Source organism: Homo sapiens, chromosome 1, assembly GCF_000001405.40.
Source record: "Homo sapiens chromosome 1, GRCh38.p14 Primary Assembly".
Classification (NCBI taxonomy): Eukaryota; Metazoa; Chordata; class Mammalia; order Primates; family Hominidae; genus Homo; species Homo sapiens.
The window spans coordinates 14,134,703-14,159,594 of NC_000001.11; the positions used below are offsets into that span (position 1 = coordinate 14,134,703).

General features: G+C 41.4%; 1 protein-coding gene across 6 annotated transcripts in view, besides 2 other annotated features; it reads left to right on the forward strand.

Annotated features, from left to right (window-relative positions):
* KAZN (kazrin, periplakin interacting protein) overlaps positions 1–24,892 on the forward strand; it is a 1,225,220-nt gene that overhangs the window by 241,879 nt on the left and 958,449 nt on the right. The gene's annotated exons all lie outside the window — the stretch shown is intronic.
* Positions 1,012–1,558: an enhancer, noted in NCBI's record as "OCT4-NANOG-H3K27ac hESC enhancer chr1:14462209-14462755 (GRCh37/hg19 assembly coordinates)". NCBI's record gives its function as "activates a minimal SCP1, AML or CMV promoter by ChIP-STARR-seq in primed H9 embryonic stem cells {active_cell/tissue: H9 hESC(primed)}" and the evidence as "EXISTENCE:reporter gene assay evidence [ECO:0000049][PMID:30033119]".
* Positions 1,559–2,104: an enhancer, noted in NCBI's record as "OCT4-NANOG-H3K27ac-H3K4me1 hESC enhancer chr1:14462756-14463301 (GRCh37/hg19 assembly coordinates)". NCBI's record gives its function as "activates a minimal SCP1, AML or CMV promoter by ChIP-STARR-seq in naive and primed H9 embryonic stem cells {active_cell/tissue: H9 hESC(naive and primed)}" and the evidence as "EXISTENCE:reporter gene assay evidence [ECO:0000049][PMID:30033119]".

Sequence of the window (24,892 nt, forward strand, 5' to 3'; positions counted from 1 at the left end):
TGATCCGCCTTGGGATTTCCAGCCTCCAGGCCTACACTTTCATGGTACTCTCGGAACACACTGGCCTTCACCTCCTCCCCATTTTTCTCTGCTTTATTATTATTAATCACATAAACAAGTTGCCAGCAATAAAGACGGAAAATGGAAAGACAGAAAAATTACCCATAGTTCTATCCATTCTTTATATCTCAGATTCAATGACATATTTTCCAACAAATTGTCCTTGGAGTGTACTGCCTCTCACAAGCATGCATGCATATGCACCCGCACACACACACACACACACACACACACACACACATGTGCACACATGCACACATACACTCACACATTCACACTTATTATTACATTGGTGGAAAAGTAATTGCAGTTTTTGTTATTAAAAGTAATGGCAAAAACTGCAATTACTTTTGCACCAACCTGCAACCTGATTGGTAGGATTGTATGTTCTTTGTTTTGCTGGACTGCAGTGGCAGCAGCCAGGCCTGCTCATCTCTGCTTCCTTCACAGCACCCTGTGAGGAGGCCTTGCCCACATCACCTGCTGAGTAATTATTTGTTGAATTACAAGCAGCATATAGTAAAATTTTATGTTCCTCTTCAAGGGACAGTGAGTAATGACACAGATTTAAAGTCAGCCGAATAGCTGGTATCTGGCTCTTAGTCTTAGCGAGGCTTTGACTAGTTCTTAAAAGTTGACATTCTTCCTGGACTTGCAGTCTGAGTGCATGAGGCTCTCCAGGGAATAAAAATTAGCCTGCTGTCTGAAATGTTTATGAAAACAGCTAAATTTAGATGATCAAAGATTTTGGGAATCCAGGGACCCTTGAGATTGAAGACTGTGATATCTTTAACAAGTATCTCGAACGGCAAAGGTTTTTTCTTCAGAAATTCCCCTTCAGAGGCATTTAAAGTTCTAGTTGGAAGCCGTTTTAATTTCTCTTTAATTGGTGGGATGGAGCGAGGTCTTGTTTAAGTAGACCACTTGAACATTTTCTTTTCCTCTGTTCATTGGCTCCAAGCTAACTTTTGAAGAGAGTGTTGCTTTTGACCAAACTGGAATTAATTCTAAAAGAGAAGGCAGGTCTGTCGCTCAAGTTTAACATGTGGATGAATTTGCCATCTCGAATTAAAATGGAGGCTGCTCAAAAGATTCCAAAAGGAACTATCCTCTATAATTTTGCTAAAAATGTAGGAAATATGTTAAAGTCACAGAGATGAGAAACTTGCTCTAAGTCTTGCTTTTCCCATCAGAAAGCCCCCACTTTACACTTGGTTCATGGAACAATAATTGGCATTCTTGTTACTGGCTCCCAAGCAGTGATTTGTTGTGGAGGTCTCTGAAGAATGGGGGAGAGAAAGGAGACCCTGGGGAAGAGGAGGGTCTTTGTGGAAAACCCATCAAGGCCTCAGAGAGCAAAGCTAAAGGATCACATCTTGGTGGGGAAGTCAACACTGTTGATTTCTGGGTGGCTATTTGGTTTGTACTGAATCTCCCATGGAGGGAGGCAGGACTGCAGAGTTTTGGGGAGCCCCGGCCTCAGTAGGGCACAAGCGGATGTCCTCTGGCTCACTCCATCTCCCTGTGACCTTGGGTAAACTATTTAGCCTCACGGGGCCTCAGATGCCCCCCTGTGAAGTAGGAAAGGTGATAGCCCTCACCTCACAGAGTGTCAGGGAACTAACCCAGGTATTGTGTGGAAAGCTTCATAAAGTGCTTAACCCAGAGCCTGGCACTTAAGTATTACTAAACAATTGCAAAGCAGGTGAAAGAAAATGCAAGCAGGACGCTTTGTTGAAATACAGGACATCAGTGGCAAAATCCTCCTCAGTCACGCAAATAAGACAGAATGCTGCAGAAAGGCATTCCGTAAATTCCAAAGAGCTTCCCAGCAGAGGTGACTGAGGGCCCAGGTGCACAGTACCCTGGAAAGAAGAGTGGGAGATAACTAACCCAGGAGGGAGGGGAAGGCCAGGGATGGGAATGTGGCTTCTCCCCAGCTGCTTGCTGCCTCCTGGCTTGACTTGATGAGGTTAGTTTGTTTGTAAACAGAATGCTCCAAATTGCAACTCTTTGCCAATCCTGTGCCCAAGTGGAAGAGCCTCTAATGAGCCAAAGCCTTAGTAATGACTGCAGTAAGCCCTGCTGGAGTGCATGGGGACTAGGACCAAGTGAGGAGGAGAGGTCATCAAGCTTTCAGTGGGGCTGGGGGCTTGGGGTTGAAGCCAGGAGTCACTAAAGGCCACCCAACGCCGAGGGAGAGAAAGACTTTGCCAGCCAGACCACTGCTTTTAGGGTTATGAAGTTTCCTTTGAAGCTCAGGAAGGATTTCTCCTCTTTGTCTTCTGAGGCAGGAGCTAACATGCCCTGGGTTTTCCCAACAAGTGAGGAAGGAAGGGCCGCTGCTGGGAAGTCAAAGGGAAACGCTTTCATTAAGGAACCATCCCAGCCAGAGCTCCGGGAATGGAGTCCAGCCCAGTCCTTAGGAATATGCTTGGGTGGGATCATTCACACCAGAGGTGATGGTCAGGCAGGTGCACACCCAGGGTTTGCCTTCTGGTCTTCAAAGCAACACCACTGAAATCTAGAAGTAAGTTTCTGTAAGAGGTAAGGTGTTCCCAGGTGCGTGGGTCAGGTGGCCCTACAGCCCTGGGCAGCTGCACTATACTTGCTCTTCCCAATATGGATCATCCATCTACTGACCAGAACCAGAGATTTCAGGCTGGCTGGGACTCACAGGGTTGACTCTGTGCCTTGAGGGCTCAACACATGAGCTTTGGAGCCACACTGCTTAGGCTCAAGTTCTATTGATACCACCTCTCAGCTGGGTGTCCTTCGGCAAGTTGCTTAAACCTCTGTGGCTTGGTTTCCTCATCTGCAAAATAAGAATGATAATAATATTCATTTCAGGGGATGACCACAGAGATTGGATCTGTTCAAACATGTAAACTGCTGACAACAGTATCTGGTGGTGAGTAAGCCTACAACAAATATAAGGCTTTTTTTTTTTTTTTTTTTTTTTTGAGACAGAGTTTTGCTCTTGTTGCCCAGGCTGGAGTGCAATGGGGCGATCTCAGCTCACTGCAACCTCCTCTTCCTGGGTTTAAGCGATTCTCCTGCCTCAGCCTCCTGAGTAGCTGGGATTACAGGCTTGTGCCACCACGCCCAGGCAGCCCATTCTATCTTTGATTAGGCCTATCAGTTAAGGAATTCTTCCAGGAGCTTCAGTGTGTATCTGAGCCAGACCACATAATAGATGAGTAATTCTCTTTTAAAGCTTTGATTTCCCATGTATGAAATGGGGATAATAGTACGGGCTTTGCAAAAATGTTGGAAAGATTAAATGTAGTGTAAAATGTTAGCATTAAATAAATGTTACAGTGTGTGTGTGTGTGTGTGTGTGTGTATACATATCCTATATGTTAAAATGCGTTCAGTTGCAACTACTAGAAAATCTGCCCACATCCAACAAACTATATAGAAATGTATTCTAGCACTTAACAGGAAGTCCTGAGGCAGGGTGAGCCTCAGGGCTGGTTGACTCGGAAGCTCAGTGATGTCATCAAGGACACAGGTTCTTTCCATTTCTCTGCCCTGCCATCATCAAGCTGGTAGCCACAGGGCTTAAGCAGATCTAGGAGTCACGTCCAGACTTGACCACATTCAGAAGGAAGAAAGACCTGTTCCTTCTATGGTTCACTCTTAGAAGTTAAGAAAGTTCCCTGGAAGTATCCCATTGGAACTTCTCTAATGTCTCATTGGTCACATGTATCTCCCACGCCTGCACCAGAACCAGTCACTGGAAGAGGAAATGGGATTCCCTCAGACCAATTCCCTCAGCCTCCCCTAGAGCCCCCACGAGATCGTCCTGGAAAGGGAAGGTGGACATCTCCGCATTGTTGGAATTCTGCTAGGAATGCAGAAGTGGGAGAAGATATCAGGTAGGCAATGGCGTACATCGCAGAGCCCAGGCTCGTTTCTCAATAGCTCCCCCATCGCACCATCTCCATCCATGCCAGGTTGCCTCCCCTTTCCAATTTTGGAAGCGTGTGTTCATGCTTTCTTTTCCAGGCATCTCGACTCCCACTAGTGGAATGAATGGGCAAGGCTGTGTGTTTCTAATGCTAACAGATGGTTCTGTGTTCCAAGGCAGGCATGGCTCTTCCAACACTAAGAATGGATCTAGTTTTACACATCACATGCCTGGTTCAGGGAGATTTAGAATCATACAAATTGTGCCAGGGCCGATGGATTCAAAGAGGCATGGCCAGCACATGTGGATGAAGTTAATGTCTGGGCTGGCCTTCCCAGAAAAGCGGCAGCCTTCTCTCCTTTCATTCTTTCATTCTTCATAGTAGTTGCCCATAGAGAGCACATTCGAGAAGGCTGTAGAAAACATTACAACCCCTTAATGCATTAATTGCTACCACTTCCCAAATACAGCCCACTGAGTTGTCCCACGCTAATTTCTCCTCTGTCCTGGACAGTGGCCACTCCTTTGCTCCTATCCAAATTTGCTTTGCCCATAGCCCATTGCTGCAAGATACTGAAGGGAGAAGGTAAGCTGATGTGGTACACCAAGCTTCTCGCTATGGTAATGGCTACTGTGTCATCATTCCGGCAAAACCTATTTGGAATTCAAGCACTTTTTGTGTTTGGTTTGGTTTACCTGAAATCCATGTCTTAAGCCTCCACTGCCGATGTCCTTCCCATCACATCACACGTATAGCTTACTAATCCTTCCAAGTCTAGCTCAGACACTGCCTCTTTCCTGAACACTTTGCTGGTTGCACGGCTAGGGAATTTTTGTTGTTGTTCTTCCTCCTGGAGCTCCCAGCCCCATTATTCTATTCCACTTTTGCTTCCTGCAATGTGCTTGACCTGATATTTTAGTTATTTATAAACTTGTATTTTCCCTCCTCTGGACAATTAGCTTCTGCAGAGGTGGCCAGTGGCCAGGGCTGATTGATATTAGCCTTCTACCCAGTGCCCAGCAGGGCATGGGCTGCAGGGCCGTAGAGGAGAGAATACTGTTCCAGAAAAAGGAATTCCAGATCCCTATTTGGCATCAGCCATGCTCTGGGCCTCAATTTTCTTTATCCATGAGATGAAAGGATCAGGTCAGATTTTCTCTAAAATTCTTTATGGTCAAATAGGCTTTTGATAAAGCATGGAGTAATTGATTTACTCAAGTGTGGGAGGAGGGAAAGGGGATTTGAGGTAAATGTGTGTGTGTGTGTGTGTGTGTGTGTGTGTGTGTGTGTGTGGTATGTATGTGTGTGTGTGTGTTAAGTAGGAAGGAGGAAAGTGGCCAGCTTTCTTGTTGACACACCATATAGGCATCCATGAAAGTCTTCAAAAATGAGTCTGGCTCTAGGAACTGTAGAGAGGCAGGTGTCAAACCCAACTCTCTTTCTCCTGAAAGAGGTGATGTACAGGGTAGTCCTTAAAGGGAAGGGCTTTATGATTAAACAGAGGCAGGTTTAAATCCTGGCCCCATCAGTTAGAAAGTGTGATTTTGGACAAGCTATCTAATCTTTCTAAGCCTCAATTTCCTTATCTGTAAAACTGGGATAATATGAGGATTTGATTCAATAAGACACATGGCTATGAGGATTAAATGAGATAATATATCTAAGGCACCCAGCACAAGGCCTGGCATACAGAAAGTGCTTCGCAGGTGTAATAATAATTATAATAATTATTAATGAAGATCTCGATAATTATAAGATGAAAACAGTTAAACGTTAAGTCCCCAGAAAACGTTTGCATGATCTGCATTCTCTTCTGATAATACAAAATACATTTAGAGGGAGGGAGGCCTTCCCACCCCCCTTTTCGCTATCCCATATTTTCTTTCCTCTTTTTCTTGACTTTTAAAAGAAAAAGAGCCCAATCATTCTTTTTAGCTTTTGAACACATTTTAGTTGTTTCCATAGCAAGTTTTAGACCTGCTTTGCCTGTAGTTCTTACACACGTGTAAGCTGCTCCACCACCCCCGCACCCCTGCCTCCCCCACGAACCCCGTCCAGAAGTTTCAGGCTTCTCTGGAAGGTTTATGTGTCACTCTTCATTATAACGACTTCTAAGGACAAGCAGCCTGAGTCTGTACCTGTCCAGGTGATGGGAGATCGGCTGGGAAGATGCCCTCATTCTCTGGGAAGAAAGACGTCCTGTCTAAACCTTGGCAGGCGGCAGAGGAGAGATGATGCTCACAGACCGATGCCTTCTGCATCTCGCCTGCCAAGAATGAGTGGCATGTGAACAACGCTCCGCTCAGAAGTTCTGGGCAGGTGCCCAGGCCCAACTAGGATGGTCCCTGTGGCCCTGGAGGAACCATGCCAAGAATCTGCACGCTGCCAAAAGCTTTCCTCCCTGGACGCCGTTCTGGCTGCCTAATTCTCCTGGCAAGCTGTTTCTAGATCATTCTTCTAAACTTCCCCAGAAAACCCCCAGAAAAGGAATGGGAAAACCTGGAAATTGTGGGGAAGCATTTGAATCTTCTCCATGACACTGTTGAAGTGATTACCATTTAAAAAAAAAAAAAAAAACAAAACTAAAAATAGCTGCTTGGAGAAAATGACATGCTTGCCCCAAGTGGTCACATGGGGACCTGGCCGCAGAAGCTATGTCTCTGCTTCCTGCCTCTGGGGCCTGAGAGCACAGAGGTTCCCGACGCCCACCTGTTGACATAGACCCTCTCCAAGGGTCAGCCCCATAGGTTTCTTCGGGGGGTAAAACTCATCCTTCGCTGATGGAACCAGATGTAACGAACGGCTCATTTACAGTAATAAAAAAAAAATTCCTCTGGTCTCTGTGGTGATGCCAGGACTCCAAGGAGAAATGGTGGTTGTAGGACCCATTTGCCATGTAAATCACTCCTTGGGCCTCAAAGAATTGAGATTAGAGGGGAAACAGCCTGAAAGCCAATTTGCTTTCAATAATTTGAGACCCTGTGGGGTCGGGTACCTGCCTGGACGATAAGTAGTTTTAGCCTAAGGCAAACTGAGTGAAAATAGGTAAAAAAATCAGCGAGTTTTGGCAGCATGTGCTACTGAATGCAATTTTTTTAAGGTCCTGGAGAAAAATCTCTGTGTTTGGAGGTTACATCTGTGCATGGATAATGGCGTGTTTTTGTTTGTTATTACTGCATGTTCCAATGTCTCGGCCATTACTGAAATTATGGGAAATGGCTGGATGCTATTCAGTTTGAGGTTGTAAGTGAAAATGTTAAGGCTTTGTGCTTATGAGAATTGATATTTTTTCCCCTCATTATTTGTTCTCATGTTGCTATAAAGAGTACATTTTTGATGGGAAATCCGTGTAAGTTTATTTATCTACTGTAGAAGCAAGGTTGTTCTCTTTGTTCCTGCCTTGCTATCTTCCTCTTTTCCTCCCTCCTTCCCTTTTTTTTTTTTTTTTTGGCTTGCCTTAAAACCAGATGGAGGTAGGTTTACAGGCTGAACCTAAGACCCCAATGTGTCCTTGTCATAAAGCATAATTCAGGAAAATTCTGTCTTCTACTGAGATGTCTAGCTGTGCCCGCTTGAAGTCTTTAAAACCTCCATTTTCAAAACCTCCTGGTGCATGCACAATTAGAAGCGTTTAAAATTCCAATAAAATACACAGTCTAAAAATGTCTTAGCTTTTAGCTACCAGGTTGTTCCTAACAGCAAATGTAAATGAATGGAGAGGCTGCTTCTTAGCTTTTGGAAATATGTCAATGTTATTGCACCTACCTGGGCGAGCATTTTCTTTTTAAGAGCTACAGTGAGTTTCACAAGATGTACAAAATACACACTTTACGTGCTATGTGGGATGGCCGCTACTCACAGGAGGAGGAGAATGTGCCAGATTTGTACATTCCTCGTATCCCTGCCAAGACTCCTGAGTGAAGGAAGTACTTGAGCCTGAAAGCGCTGTAGCCTTCAGCATTGGCTGTTAGCTCTTTAGAGACCAGAGGAGCCCTCTCAATGACATTTGTCTCACTTCATTTTCATGGACATGGTCACGTGAGGCAGATGGGCCCGCTGCAGCTGGAGGGCCTCTCCTCCTCATTTAAGATGGTACAATCCCTTCTCCACCCCTTGCCCCCTCTACTCAATTTTCTCAGGGAGCTGAATCACAGGAGTTGCCTCTACAATTAAGATTTGAAAAGAAGCCGCTCTGGCTGTGTTTTCATGCCCTTGGTGAGATGGGCCCAACTGTCTTCCCAAGTGTTTACTGGCTTCCTGCTGGACGGCCACCATGCCCTTATGCCCCTGAAAGGAAGGACCTGTCTAATTGAGGCCAGCATGAGCCAAAGTTTGCGGTAATTATCTCGGGGATGGAGCAGCTGGAGGAACATCACCTAATGAGGCCAGCATAGGTTCCAAGACAGCTCTCAGCATGGCCCCATAGTGGCAGGAGGGACTGCTCCCAGGGCCAGGAAACATTGCTTGGAACGACGGTTCCTAATTGTGATGCATCCAGAAGAAAGCATTGTTGCTCAGGGCATAACACCCCATGATTTTGAAATTTTTAAACTAGCTTTTGGTTTTATTTCTGTATACCTAGGCATACTTTTTAAAAGCCAAATAATCCCTGAGGCTTGACATGGAAAACACCAGCCTGTTAGGAAGTCCTCCTCCCCACTATTCCACTGCTCCCCTAGAAAACCCCTTTCATTCTGAGCTATTGTTTCGTGTATGTACCGCCCTATTTCTAATACTCTGGTTTTGTTATTTTCTGGTTTTATATGTCAACTTTAGATTTCCTACTGTGAAAGGTAAGGGTTTAGATCTTGTATTCTTCCTGCGCCCTCATACACAGGCACACACTTCTCCCCCACTTACTTCCACCAGTGTAATTGTGTCAGAATTTTTGTGAAATAATTATGTTGAGTTTCTGTTGATAAGACAGTATACATTTTACTAACAATTGAGTCACAATTATACCTCTTGTCTTGCACAAATTTTGCCCTCCCTGGACTTTGTAATTGCTCATCCTCCTTCCCCCACCAAAGTTTGCTCTGCTTTTTTTTTTCTTTTTTTTGAGACAGGATCTTGCTCTGTTGCCCAGGCTGGAGTACAGTGGTGTGATCTCGGCTCACCACAGCCTCGACCTCCTAGGCTCAAGCAGCTCTCCCACCTCAGCCTCTCAAATAGCTGGGAGCACAAGCCTGTGCCACCATGCCTGGCTATTGTTTAAGTTTTGTGCAGAGGCAGGGTATTACCACGTTGGCCAGGCTGGTATCAAACTCCTGGGCTCAAGTGATCCTCCTGTCTCAGCTTCTCAAAGTGCTGGGATTATGGGCATGAGTCACCGCACCTGGCCAACTAGTTTTCTATTAATCTATCAGCAGTTCATTCCCAAACTCTCCTCTGTAGTTATAAATCTGCTCCAGATTTATTTGAGCACATCAGGGAATCTCTTGTTTTTACTTTCCCTTCCTAAATGCAGAACTCTTTCCTCCTTCTCCTCAACTCGGATAAGCAGTTCTCTATCTCTGTTCCTTAACCACTGTCCTGGGATTTTCCTTCAGTGTCATTCCAGGAATTCCTTCATCTTTTTGCTCTGCGTTAGATCCCTTGTTTCCAGGATAGCATGTCTTCCCCTTGTCTTTGTTTATTGCCTGACTTTGGTGGACCACATCTTCCAGAACTTTCCTAGGGAAGGGTACCTGGGATGTAACTTTTATTTTGAGGCTCTGGATATAGGGATATAACAGTTATGTCATTTTTAGTTTCTCTCTTAGTTACTGTCTTAGTTTATTATTATTTTTTTTTGTAGAGTTGGCATCTTGCTATGTTGCCCAGGCTGGTCTTGAACTCCTGGGCTCAAGTGATCCTCCTGCCTCAGCCTCCCAAAGTGCTGGGATTACAGGCATGAGCTACCACACCCGGCCTTGTCTTAGTCCATTTTGTGTTGCTATAACAGAATACCTGAGACCAGGTAGTTTATAAAGAAAAGAGGTTACTTGGCTTATGATTCTGGTTGCTGAAAATTTCAAGATGGAGCATCTGCATCTGGTGAGGGCCTCACTCTGCTTTAACTCACAGTAGAAAGTGGAAGGAGAGCCCAGTGCAGAGATCACATGGCACGAAAGGAAGCAAGTGGGGGGAAGTTCCAGGCTCCTTTTAACAACCAGCACTCTTGCAGGAACTAACACAGTGAGAACACACTCACCCCACAGGAAAGGCATCTACTAATGAAGGATCCACTGGCATGACCCAATAGCCTTCCATCAGGCCCCACCTCCAACATTGCCACATTGGGGATCAAATTTCCACATGAGGATTGGAGGGAACAAATATCCAAACCATAGACGTTACCTTCATGCAATGTCTTTATTTCATTGTTTAATCAATTTTCAGACCATAGCTCTTCTAGGATAAGGTTCTTAGTACCTCTACCCTCCTTCCCTTCATTATTTACGACTCTCCCAGCTTCAATGTTCTCTTCCCTTACAATAGTCTTGGCTGGGTGCTGTGGCTCACATCTGTAATCCCAACACTTTGGGAGGCCAAGGTGGGAGAGTCACTTGAGCCCAGGAGCTTGAGACCAGCCTGGGCAACATAGTGAGACCCCATCTTTACAAAATAAATTTAAAAATTAGCCGGGCATGGTGGCATGTTCCTGTAGTCCCAGCTCTCAGGAGGCTGAGGTGGGAGGATCGCTTGAGTCAAGGAGGTCGAGGCTGCAGTGAGCTATGATTGCACTACTGCACTCCAGCCTGGGTGATAGAAAAAGACCATGTCTCTGAAAAAAAGACACACACACACACCCACACCCCCACACACACTATTCTTTGACTTTATTTTTACTTTTCCCATAAAAAATATTTGTCTATAAACATAATTAACTTTGCTTAGTATGTAGCTTAGCTTTATAAGACAGTATACCTTTTTTTTTTTTGAGACAGAGTTTTGCTCTGTCGTCCAGGCTGGAGTGCAGTGGTGTGATCTTGGCTCATTGCAACCTCTGTCTCCCAGATTCAAGTGATTCTCCTGCCTCATCCTCCCAAGTAGCTGGGATTACAGGCATGTGCTACCACACCTGGCTAATTTTTGTATTTTTAGTAGAGACAGGGTTTCGCCATGTTGGCTAGGCTGGTCTTGACCTCCTGACCTCAGATGATCCACTTGCCTTGGCGTCCCAAAGTGCTGGTGAGCCACTGTGCCTGGCCAAGACAGTCTACACTTGATTAACAACGGGGTCATGATTATACTTCCTGTCTTGCACATTATGACAAAGTTTACCTGATTTACATTTCCTTTTTTTTCTTTATCTGAATTTATGGTATTCTAATATTTTTTCTCAAACTGTCATATCACTTGATTCTCATTTATGTTTGGAGACCTTGTTCTGAGGATCTCTGTCCTCTTGTTCCCTGTGCTCTACCCTGAGTTGAGTGATGTCCCTGGGTCACCTGAACAGTCATGACTTCTATTTAATATTCTCCTTGGTGTAGTCACTGTTTCCTGAATCCCATGCATGTTTTTTTTTTCTCCTAATTTTCCTCCTTATTTACTGGAGGATTCCATAAATAACTTTTAATGAAAGATGTGGGGCCAGGCACGGTGGCTCATGCCTGTAATCCCAGCACTTTGGGAGGCCGAGGCAGGTGGATCGCCTGAGGTCAGGAGTTTGAGACCAGCCTGGCCAACATGGTGAAACCCTGTCTCTACTAAAAATACAAAAAATTAGCTGGGCATGGTGGTGGGCACCTGTAATCCCAGCTACTCGGGAGGCTGAGGCAGGAGAATTGTTTGAACCTGGGAGACGGAAGTTGCAGTAGGCCAAGATTGCGCCATTGCACTCCAGCCTGGGCAACAAGAGTGAAACTCCATCTCAAAAAAAAAAAAAAAAAAAAAGAAAAGAAAAGAAAGAAAGAAAGAAGATGTGGAGGTAAACTTTCTTAATCCTTGCAGGTGCAAAAAGACCTTTATTTTATCCTCAGAATTGATTGATAATTTGGCTGGGAATGAAATTCTAGGTCAAAACTCATTTTGATCATCTCAGAAAAAAAAAAAAAAAAAGAATGCTGGGAGTGACTTGATGACAGTTAAATTTGCTTCTTTTCTGGTAACCTTTCATTTTTTCCTTTGGAACATTTTAGGATATTTTTCTTATCCTCAGTCATCTTCAATTTCAGAAGAGTTTGTCAAAGTGAGGATGTTATGGGAGATATGGTTGATCCTTGAACAACATAGGTTGGAACTGTGTGGGTCCGCTTCTTCCACTTCTGTCACCCCCAAGACAGTGAGACCAACCTCTCCCCTTCTTTCTCATTCTCAGCCTACTCAATATGAAGACAGCAAGGATAAAGACCTTTATGATGACCCATTTCCATTTAATGAATAGTAAATATATTTTCTTTTCCTTTTGATTTTCTTAATAACACTTTCTTTTCTTCAGCTTACTTTATTGTAAAGGATACAATGCACAATATACATAACACAAAATATGTGTTAATAGATATTTATGTTATCATTAATAAATGATAACATTCTGTTCAACAGTAAGTTATTAGTAGTTAAGTTTCCATGTATTCGAAACAATTCAGATTTTCCACTGCAAGGGGGTTTTGTGCTGCTAACCCTCGTGTTGTTCAAGGGTCAACTGTATAATGTTGAAGAATGCAGGCCATGGACCCTACTTGGCTGAGTTTAAACCCTAGCTGTCTCATTTACTAGCTTGGGTTAAGTGTTTTAACCAGTAACAGTGTTGTCTCCATTTTCTCAGCTGCATTAATACAATTAATGAAACAGTGTTGATAATAGAAGCTACCTCTTAGATTTATTGGGAGGATTAAAACGTCACTGCAGGGCTGGGCGTGGTGGCTCATGCCTGTAATCCCAGCACTTTGGGAGGCCAAGGCGAGTGGATTACAAGGTCAAGAGATCAAGACCATCCTGGCCAACATGGTGAAACCCCATCTCTACTAAAAAAATATATAAAAATTAGCTGGGCATGGCGGCACGCACCTGTAGTCCCAGCTACTCGGCAGGCTGAGGCAGGAGAACCACTTGAACCTGGGAGGCAGAGGTTGCAGTGAGCCGAGATCGCGCCACTGCACTCCAGCCTGGCGACAGAGCAAGACTCCATCTCAAAAAAAAAAAACAACAAAAAAACTAAAGGTCACTACGTAGAAACCTTTCTAAAGTGGTGCCTGGTACATAAGAGGTTTTTAATGACCTTTAGCTATGACTACTATTATTGCTATTTATTGTAATAGTCCCTTTAAACGTAGGCACCAGGTGTGGTGGCTTAGTCCTGTAATCCCAGCACTTTAGGAGGCCGAGGTGGGAGGATCACTTGAGCCCAGGAGTTTGAGATCAGCCTGGCCAACATAGTGAGACCCTATCTCTACAAAAAAATTTAAAAATTAGCCGGGTGTGGTGGCGGGCACCTGTGGTCCCAGCAGATCACTTGAGCCCAGGAGGTTGAGGCTGCAGTGAGCCGTCATCATGCCACTGCACTCCAGCCTGGGCAACAAAGCAAGACCCTGTCTCAAAACAAAACAAAACACAAACTTGAGGTGCTATGATTTTCATTTCTAATAGAAACTTTAATTATTCTTTATTTTCATCCCCTGCTTCTCCTCTCATCCCTGTTCTCTTCTTTCTCTGTGACTTTTGGCATATTTTCTCTGTTGCTTGTTTTCACCTTCATCTTTTTCTGAACTTTTTGTTTTACTTGCCGGATGATACTCTCAAATTTAACAACTAGCCTCAATATTACATTTTTTATTTTTTATTTTGGTAATAGTAGATTCAATTTCTAAGAGTTTTCTCTTATTCTCTGACTGTTCCATTGCTACAGTACCCCTTTCTTGTTTTATGGATAAAATGTAGTCTGGAATCTTTATTTTGTTTACATGTTATTTCCTGTTCCTAAACTCATGGTTTTTCCAAAGCCATATTTTTGTTTTGTTTTGTTTATGTTTCTTTTGTGTTTGAGACTTTCCTTCAATGCCAGGAAATCCTTGGTGGTCTGTTTATACTCAAGAATGAGTTGATGCGAAAGCAGATGGGGAATTATGTACATGTGGATGGCAGGCTTTGCTTGATGGTGAACAGGTGGCACCAACCATTATGCTTGACTCCCCCAAAATGCCAGGATTTCTACATTTTTGCTCTAGGATGTCAACATCCGTATCAGCTGTCTTTATTTTCTTCAGAGAGTTCATTGTATGTGTTTGACAAAGAACACTCCACTTTTTGCTTGATTGGATTTTGTTTTGGCTTTTATATTTTGGTCTTGTCGGGTAAAGACTAGCTGTAGGGTGTTCTGTAGTTGAATTCTGTAGTTGAAGGTGGAGATCGGAGCCAGTGCTTCCACATACAGCCTGCCTGCCTGCCTGCCTGCCTTCCTGCCTTCCTTCCTTCCTTCCTTCCTTCCTTCCTTTCTTTCTTTCCTTTTTTTTTTTTTTTTTGACAGAGTCTTGCTCTGTTGCCCAGGCTGGAGTGCAGTGGCATGATCTTGGCTCCTTGCAACCTCCGCCTCCTGGGTTTAAGTGATTCTCCTGCCTCAGCCTCCCAAGTAGCTGGGACTACAGGCGTGTGCCACCACGCCCAGCTAATTTTTTGTATTTTTTTTTTTGGTAGAGATGAGGTTTCATAGCATTAGCCAGGATGGTCTCGATCTCCTGACCTCGTGATCCACCTGCCTCGGCCTCCCAAAGTGCTGGGATTACAGGCGTGAGCCACCATGCCTGGCCACAACCTTTCAATTAATCTCCTTCTTTTAGGTGCACAGTTCACTCTCTTTCTGGACATGATCTTGCCCAGTCCCAAGTCTTTCCGGAGTTCTGGGAACACGGGGCTCTTGCTTGAGCTCAGTTCCTCCCATCTCGTTTGGCCACCATTGCCTGGGCCTCTTCCCTGCCACACTTCCCTGGGCGTTTTCATCGGTCACCACTACGTCATCTGATTTATATCTCATGGAAATTTGCTGGAATCTCTGAGCTGCTGACAGCCTCCTTGTGGTGACTGTGGGTTTATGCTCATTTTATTTCCCTACCATCATTTTAAAGAGGAGAGCAAAAATATAAATAAGTATGAGTCCATCGTGTTAGTCAAATACCATGATTTTTTTAAAAGCCTAATTTTAAAGGCTAGATTATAACAGGGAATGGAACTGTATTGTTTTACAAGATGCATATTTTTGTGTGATTTGCATATGGAACAACTCACAGACTCAACAGAGGAAAACCGATCTCTCTAATGATGAAAATATTATATATTCTGAAAACTGCTGGCCTAAAAATTTCTCTGCAGATTCAGAAAATGGTGATACCGACAGTCATACTAGTCATAACGCAACAGCAGGGAATTTTATATTTTCCCAGACTTTATAGTTTCTCAGAGCACTTTCACAAGCATTGTCTCACCCTACAGATGACCTGTTTCCTGGAAGCATTATTACCCCCATTTTTCAGCTAAAGAAATAGAGGTTCCCAGAGACGAAGGACTTGCCAAAGGTTACACAACAAGCCTGTTGACTTTTTCTCTAGAGTGATGTCCATGTTATCACCACTCCAGTTTGCTGTTGGTTAATGGTTTGCACAGAATTCACTACCATGAATAGCTTAGCTTAAATGGGTGCCAACTATCTGGTAACTTTATACAGCCTGAAATCTTTGCTTCTCAGCTTAGTATCTCAGGAGCAATTTAATACCCCTTTATGGTAGAAGGGTTCCAGAAACAGTAAGAGTTGTCTCTGTGTGAACCAAGTCTACACCCTTTCACTTGGCCTGCAACAAAGAACCATCTGCCCCCAGAACTTCCAACTTCATTGTGCCATCGAAATCTGTACTTTCAAAGCTGTGTGTTTATGGTTTCCTTTGCTTTATCACCTGACAAACAGTTCTTACATCTTGCATGTGATACAAGAGGTGTATCCATTTGTATGTTAATTGAACTAGGCCTGGGAAAAGATGGTATCAACTAGGAGCCATGCATGAACCCATTGTTGTAATCCATGCCTGGAAAGAGACGATTTCACATTCCCATTGCTGATCCTCAAACCACCCAAATGCAACAACAGGCTTTTGACCTCACTTGGAGATAACCAAAATGATATCATCAAATATAGACATGCTTACTACACTCTTCCAAATAATTACTGGTATCAGCCCCATTTTTATTTTTAAATAATTGTAATCTAATTGAATAACTAATGTATATTTCAGTGTGGGAAATTTGGAAAATACACAGAAAAAAAGAAAAGTCATAGGTAATAACATCAAGTAGAGATAAACCCTGCTAACATTGTCATACACACACACACACACGTGTGGGTGTATATTCTCAATTATATATGTGAATGTACCTACATTATAAAACTATGTGAACAGTGTAGTCTCCATTCAGTTTGACTACTTATTGAGGTCACACTTTTAATGCAGTCTTATAAAAGTTTCACATGCTATACCGTCTTCATCTACAACATCATTTATAAGGCATCCTAGAGTTTCATAGGGTGTTTACTAATTCTGTTTCCAGATTGTAGAAAAAAAAGACAAAGATGGGCATATGAGTGACCAATGTAACATAATTTTGATGGTCTCAACTGTACTGTTAAAAAGACACTAAACTGGTAGTTTTGAACCATGCATTTTTTTTTCAGGACATAATCTATAAAATTTAGTGCCCCAGAAAGGCCATTTCTTAGCTGTTTTCCTCTTAAAATTCATTTTCTGAGAGCAAGCAATATGTTTCACTGCTTAGAAGCAATGAAAATGATCACTTTGATATTTTCGTGACTGCCTGTCAGGAATTGGCTATATTTCCCATATTGATGTTGTAATTAAGTTAAGGAATTGGTTGAACTACTATTTACTGTGTCTCCAGCTCTCATGCTAGGCACTCTGGAAACGGATAAAACAAATCAGCAGGCAAAACATGATTCCTCTCATCATGGAATTTCTAGTCTAGTGAACAAATCAACAGTGATATCTAAGGACCAGTGTTCCCAAACTCTTAGCACCCAGAGAAAGTGGGCATATTTTTATAGCAGTTTGTGATAAATAGACAAGGTTATTGGAAGAATGAGGTAAGCTTCCTGGGCCTTTGGCCATCCCTCATCACACCTGTAACCATTCCTATCACACCAGCTGCCCCAGCAGAGCAGTGGAAGAGCTCCCCAGTAGTAAATTTTATTTTGGAGGGCAAGAAGGAATTATGGTTGTGGTATGACATTATGTAATTACTTGTGGAAAGGAAAAAAAATGGAAGGATGATAAAATAACAAGAAAAGAGAATTTAATTCATTTATTTCCTGTTTTTTTGTTTAAGTTCTCTAATAAAGTTTTTGCCTTGCAGTACTTTTAAAAAATATTTTAATTTTAATTTTTGTGGGTACGTAGGAGGTGGATATATTTATGGGGTATGTGAGATATTTTGATACAGGCATGTAATGCACAATAACCATATATGGGTAAATGGGGCATCCATCATCTCAGACATTTATCCTTTGTGTTACAAACAATTCAATTATACTCTTTGAATTATTGTTAAATATACAATTAAATTATATTTGACTATAGTCATCCTGTTGTGCTAGCAAACAGTAGGTCTTATTCATTCTTTCAAGCCATTTTTTCTTTTTGGACTCATTAAGCATCCGTACCTCCCCCTGACCCTCCAACTACCCTTCTCAGCCTCTGGGAACCATCCTTCTACTCTTTACCTCCATGAGTTCAACTCTTTTGATTTTTAGATATTACAAATAAGTGAGAACATGCAATGTTTGTCTTTCTGTGCCTGGCTTACTTTATTTAGCATAATGATTTCCATCCAGTTCCATCCAAGTTCTTGCAAATGACAGGATCTCATTCTTTTTATGGCTAACTCGTACTCCATTGTATATAAGTACCAAATTTTCTTTATCCACTCATCTATTGATGGACACTTAAGTTGCTTCCAAATTTTGGCTATTGTGAAGATGGCTCCAACAAACACAGTAGTGCAGATATCTCTTTAACATAGAGATTTCCTTCCTTTTGGGTATGTACCTAGGAGTGGGATTGCTGGATTGTATAGTAGCTCTAATTTTAGTTTTTTGAGAAAACTCCAAACTATTCCCCATAGTGGTTGTACTAATTTATATTCCCATCAATAATGTACAAGGGTTCCCTTTTCTTCATATCCTTGCCAGCATTTGTTATTGCTGGACTTTTGGATAAAAGCCATTTTAACTGGAGTGAGATGATATCTCATTGTAGTTTTGATTTGCATTTATCTGATGATCAAGAATGTTGAGCATCTTTTCATATACCTGTTTGCCATTGGTAAGTTTTTTTAATTGAGAAATGTCTATTTAGATCTTTCGCCCACTTAAAAATCAGATTATTAGATATTTTTCCTACAGAGTTGTTTGAACTTCTTATAAAATCTAATTATGAATCCCTTGTCAGATGGGTAGTTTGTAAATATCGTCTCCCAATATTTGGGAGTTGTCTTGTCACTTTGTTAATTGTTTCCTTTGCCGTGCAGAAGCTTTTTAATTTGATGTGTTCACATATGTCCATATTTGCTTTGGCTGCCTATGCTTGTGGGGTATCATTCAAGAAATTTTTGCCCAGATCAATGCTCTGGAGAGTTTCCCCCAATGTTTTCTTTTAGTAGTTTCACAGTATGAGGTTTAGATTTAAGTCTTTAATCATTTTGATTCCATTTTCGTATATGTTGAGAGATAGGGATCTAGTTTCATTCTTTCGCATTTGGATATCCAACTTTCCCAGCTTCATTTATGTCTTTTTCTCAGTGTATGTTATTGGCACCTTTGTCAAAACTGAGTTTGCTGCCAGGTGCAGTGGCTCACGCCTGTAATCCCAGCACTTTGGGAGGCTGAGGCAGGCGGATCACCTGAGGTCAGGAGTTGGAGACCAGCCTGACCAACATGGAGAAACCCTGTCTCTACTAAAAATACAAAAAAATTAGCCAGGCATGGTGGTGCATGCCTGTAATCCCAGCTACTTGGGAAGGCTGAGACGGGAGAATTGCTTGAACCTGGGAGGCGGAGGTTGCAGTGAGCTGAGATTGTGCCATTGCACTCCAGCCTGGGCAATAAGAGCAAAACTCTGTCTCAAAAAAAAAAAAAAAAAAAAAAATGAGTTTGCTGGACGTCTTTGGATTTGTTTCTGGGTTCTCTATTCTGTTCCACTGGTCTACAGGTCTGTTTTTATGCCAGGACCATACCATTTTGGTTACTGTAGGTCTGTAGTATAATTTAAAGTCAGGTAATGTTATTCCTCCAGTTTTGTTCTTTTTGCTTATAATAGTTTTGGCCATTCTGGGTCTTTTGTGGTTACATATAAATTTTAGGATTTTTTTTCTACTTATGTGAAGAATGCCATTAGTATTCTGATAGGGATTGCATTGACCTGTAGATTGCTGTGAGTAGTGTGGGGATTTTAATAATATCGATTCTTCCAATCCATGAACATGAAATATCTTTCCATTGTTTTGATCCTCTTCAATTTCTTTCGTCAGTGTTCTGTAGTTTTCTTTCCAGAGATATTTCACTTTTTAAGTTAATTCCTAGGTATTTAATGTTCTTTGTTGCTATTATAAATGGGATTTTTAAAAAAAATTCTTTTTCAGATTGTTCACTGTAGGCATACAGAAATGCTACTGATTTTGTATGTTTATTTTGTATCCTGCAGCTTTACTGAATTTGTTTATCAATTCTAATGGTTTTTTTTGTGGAGTCTTTAGTTTTTTCCCAATATAAGATCATATCATCTACAAACAAAGATAATTTGGCTTCTTCCTTTCCCATTTGAATGCCCTTTATTTCTTTCTTGTCTGATTGCTCTAACTAGAATTTCCAGTACTATGTTGAGTAACAGTGATGAAAGTGGGCATCCTTGTTATGCTTCAGATCTTAGGGGAAAGGCTTTCTGCTTTTCCCCATTAAGTGTGATACTAGCTGTGAGTCTGTTGTACATGGCTTTAATTATGTTGAGGTATGTTCCTTCTATCCCCAGTTTTTGGAGGGTTTTTATCATGAAGGGATGTTAATTTTATCAAATGCTTTTTCAGCATCCATTGAAATAATTATATGGTTTTTGTCCTTCATTCTGGTGACATTATGCATCATATTGATTAATTTGCATTTGTTGAACCATCCTTGCATCCCAAAGATATATTCCACTTGGTCAGGATGAATGATCTTTTTCATATATTGTTGAATTTGGCTTGCTAGTATTTTATTGAGGATTTTTGCATCAATATTCATCAGAGATTGGCTTGTAGTTTTTCTTCCTTCCTTCCTTCCTTCCTTCCTTCCTTCCTTCCTTCCTTTTTCTGATGTGTCTTTGCCTGGTTTTGGAACATCGAGGTGATACTGGCCTCAAATAATGAGTTTGGAAGTATTCCCTCTTCCTCTAGGTTTTTCGAATAGTTGGAGTATGATTGCTATTAATTCTTTAAATGTTTGATAGAATTCAGCAGTGAAGTCATCAAGTCTGGGCTTTTCTTTACTGGGAGAATTTTTATTACAGCTTTGATCTCATTACTTGTTATTGGTCTGCTCAGGTTTTGGGTTTCATCATGGTTCAATCTTGGTAGGTTGTATGTGTCTAGGAATTTGTCCATGTCTTCTAGATTTTCCAATTTATTGGCATATAGTTGCTGAAAGTAGTCACTAATGATCCTTTAATTTTGTGGTATCAGTTGTAACATCTCCTTTTTAATCTCTGCATTTATTTATTTGGATCTTCTCTCTTTTTTTTCTTAGTCTTGCTAATGATTTGTCAATTTTGCTTATCTTTTCAAAAAACAAACTTTTTGGTTCATTGATCTTTCACATTGTTCTCTTTATTTCAATTTCATTTATTTCTCTTCTGATGTTTATTATTTATTTTCTTAGACTAATTTGGGGTTTGGTTTGCTCTTCCTTTTCCAGTTCTTTAAGATGCACTGTTAAGTTTATTTGGTATTTTTCTTCTTCTTCTTCTTCTTCTTCTTTTTTTGAGACAGGGTCTTGCTCTGTTACCCAGGCTGGAGTGCAGTGGCACCATCTTGGCTCACTACAACCTCTGCCTCCCAGATACAAGTGATTCTCATGTCTCAGCCTCCTGAGTATCTGGGATTACAGATATACACCACCATGTCCAGTTAATTTTTGTATTTTTAGTAGAGATGGGGTTTCACCATGTTGGCCAAGCTGATCTCGAACTCCTGGCCTCATGTGATCCACTCACCTTGGCCTCCTAAAGTGCTGGGATTACAGGCATGAGCCCAGATATTTTTCTTCTCTTTTGATGTTGGCACTTACAGCTTATAAACTTCCCTCTTAGTACTACTTTTACTGTGTCCCATAGGTTCTGATATATTGTGTTTCTATTATCATTTATTGCAAGAAATTTTTTAATTTTCTTCTTAATTTCTTCATTGACACATTGGTCATTCAGGACCATATTATTTAATTTCCATGTATTCGTATAGTTTCCAAAACTCCTCTTGTTATTGATTTCTAGTTTTATTCCATTGTGGTCAGAGAAGATGCTTGATATTATTTCAATTTTTTGAATGTTTTAAGATTTGTTTTGTGACCTAACATATGGCCTATTCTTGAGAGTGATTCATGTGCTGAGGAAAAGAATGAATATTCTGCGGCTGTTGCATGAGATGCTCTGTAAATATCCATGAAGCCCATTTGGTCTATAGTGGAGGTTAAATCCAATGTTTCTTTGTTGATTTTCTGTCTGGAAGATGTTTCTAATGCTGAAAGTGGGGTGTAGAAGTCTCCAGCTATTATTGTATTGGAGTCTATCTCTCTCTTTAGCTCTCATAATATTTGCTTTATATATCTGGGTCCTCCAGTGTTAGGTGCATATATTTAAAATTGTTATATCCTCTTGTTGAAATAACCCATTTATCATTACATAGTGACATTCTTTGTCTCTTCTTATAGTTTTTGTCTTGAAATCTATTTTGTCTGATATGAGTATAGTAACTCCGACTCTTTTTTGGTTTCCGTCGGCATGAAATATCTCTTTCCGTTCCTTTATTTTCAGCCTATGTGTGTCTTCATAGGTGAAGCATGTATCTTGAAGGCAACAAATCATTGGGTCTTGTTTTTTAGGCCATTCAGCCACTCTATTTCTTTTCATTGGAGAGTTTAGTCCATTTACATTCCATGCTATTATTGACAAGTAAGGATTTACTCCTGCCATTTAAAAATTTGTTTTCTGGTTGTTTTGTGGTCTTTTGTTTTTTTTTTTTTTTTCCTTGTCTTTTTTTGGTGAAGGTGATGTTTCTTTGGTGATATGATTTCATTTTTTGCTTTTTATTTTTCATGTATCCTTGTAGTTTTTTGATTTGAGGTTACCATGAGACTTGCAAGTACTATCTTATAACTCATTATTTTAAGCTGATAACAGCACCATTTGCATAAACAAACAAGCAAAAATACAGCTAATAAGAACTCTATGCTTTAACTTCATCCCTTCACTTTTTAACTTTTTATGGTTTCTATTTATATCTTATTGTACTGTCTATGTCTTGAAAAGTTGTTGCAGTTATTATTTTTGATTGTTTCATTATTTAGTCTTTCTAATTAAGGTAACAGTAATTTACATATCACAGTTACAGTGTTATAATACTCTGTGTTTTTCTGGGTACTTACTGTTAGCAGTGAGCTTTGGACCTTAAGATGAAGCCGACCTACTTTCTGATTGAAGTACTCTCTTTAACATTTCTTGTAGGACAGGTCTGGTGTTTATGAAATCCCCCAGCTTTTGTTTGTCTGAGAAAGTCTTTATTTCTCTTTCATGTTTGAAGGATATTTTTGCTGGATATACTATTCTAGGGTAAAAGTTTTTTCCTTCAGCGCTTTAAATATGTCTTGCCACTCTCTCCTGGCCTGTAAGGTTTCCACTGAAAAGTCTGCTGCCAGAGGTATTGGGGCCCCATTGTATGTTATTTATTTCTTTTCTCTGGCTAATTTTAGGAGGCTTTCTTTATCCTTGTCCTATTGGAGATTGATTATTAAATTCCTTGAGGTAGTGTATTAGTCCATTTTCCCACTGCTACAAAGATACTACTCAAGACTAGGTAATTTATAAACAAAAGAGGTTTAATTGACTCACACTTCTGCATGCTGGGGGGGCCTCAGGAAGCTTACAATCATGGAGGAAGGTGAAAGGGAAGCAAGGCATGTCTTACATGGCAGGATGCAAGAAAGAAGAGAAAGCGAAGGGGAAAGAGCCCTTATAAAACCATCAGATCTCATGAGAACTCACTCACTATCATGAGAACAGCATGGGGAAAACCACCCTCATGAGCCAATCACCTCCCACCAGGTCACTCCCTTGACACACGGGGATTACAGTTTGAGATGAGATTTGGATGGGGACATAGAGCCAAACCATATCAGGTAATCTTCTTCAGGTTGAGTCTTCTTGGTATTCTATAACCTTCTTGTACTTGGATATTGATATCTTTCCGTAGGTTTTGGAAGTTCTCTGTTATTATCCCTTTAAATAAACTTTCTACTCCTATCTCTTTCTCTACCTCCTCTTTAAGGCCAATAACTTACATTTGCTCTTTTGGGGCTATTTTCTAGATCTTATAGGTGTGCTTCATTGTTTTTTATTCTTTTTTCTTTTGTTTCCTCTGTCAGTGTATTTTCAAATAGCCTGTCTTGAAGCTCCCTAATCCTTTTTTCTGCTTGATCAATTCTGCTGTTAAAAGACTCTGATACATTTTTCAGTATGCCAATTGCATTATTCAGCTCCAAAATTTCTGCTTGATTTTTTAAGAATTATTTCAATCTCTTTGTTATATTTATTTGATAGAACTCTGAATTCCTTCTCTGTGTTATCTTGAATTTCTTTGAGTTTCCTCAACAAAGCTATTTTGAATTCTCTGTCTGAAAGGTCACATATCTGTTTCTTCAGGATTGGTTTCTGATGGTTCATTTGGTGAGATCATATTTTCCTGGATGCTGTTGTTGCTTATAGATGCTTTTCAATGTCTGGGCATTGAAGAGTTAGGTATTTATACATTATTGCAGTACTCTCAGTCTGGGCTTGTTTTTACCCGTCCTTCTTGGGAAGGCTTTCCAGATACTCCAAATGACTTAGGTGTTATGATCTAAGCTGTCTCTGCTTTATGGGTCACCCCAAGCCTAGTAATGCTGTGGCTCTTATGGACTCATAGAGGTACTGCCTTTATGGTCTTGGGTAATATCTGAAATAATTCTTGCATTACCAGAGAGACATTCTTTTTTTCTTCCCTTACTTTCTCCCCAGTGAATTGAGTCTCTTTCTCTATTCTGAGCCACCGGGAGCTGGGGGTGGTGTGACACAAGTACTCCTGTGGCCACCACCACTAAGATTGTGCTGGGTCAGACCTGAAGCCAACAAAGCACTGGATCTCACTCAAGGCCTGCTGTAACCACTCTCTGCCTATGGCTTATGTTTGCTCAAGGCCCTGGGACTCTACAATCTGAAGATAGCAAAGCCAACCAGGCATTGTCCTTCCCTTCAAGGTGATGAGTTCCCCCAGGCTCCAGGTATGTCCAGAAGTGCTGTCTGGGAGCCAAGGATGACAGTCAAAAACCTTAGAAGTCTATCTGGTATTCTATTGTACTGTAGCTGATCTGGCACTTGAACCACAAGACACAGTCCTTCCCACTCTTCTCTCCCCTTTCCAAGGGCAGAAGAGCCTTATTCTGTGGCTACCATCACCACAGGTCCATGCATAGTACTGCTAGACTACCGCTGATGTTCTCTTAAGGCTCAAGGACTCTTTCATCAGCTTGTGGTGAATGCTGCCTAGCCTGGGACTCACTTTTAGGGCAGTGGGCTCCCCTCTGGTCCAGGGCAGGCCCAGAAATGCGGTCCAAAAGCCAAGTTCTGGAACTGGGTCACCAAGAGCCTACTTGGTGCTCT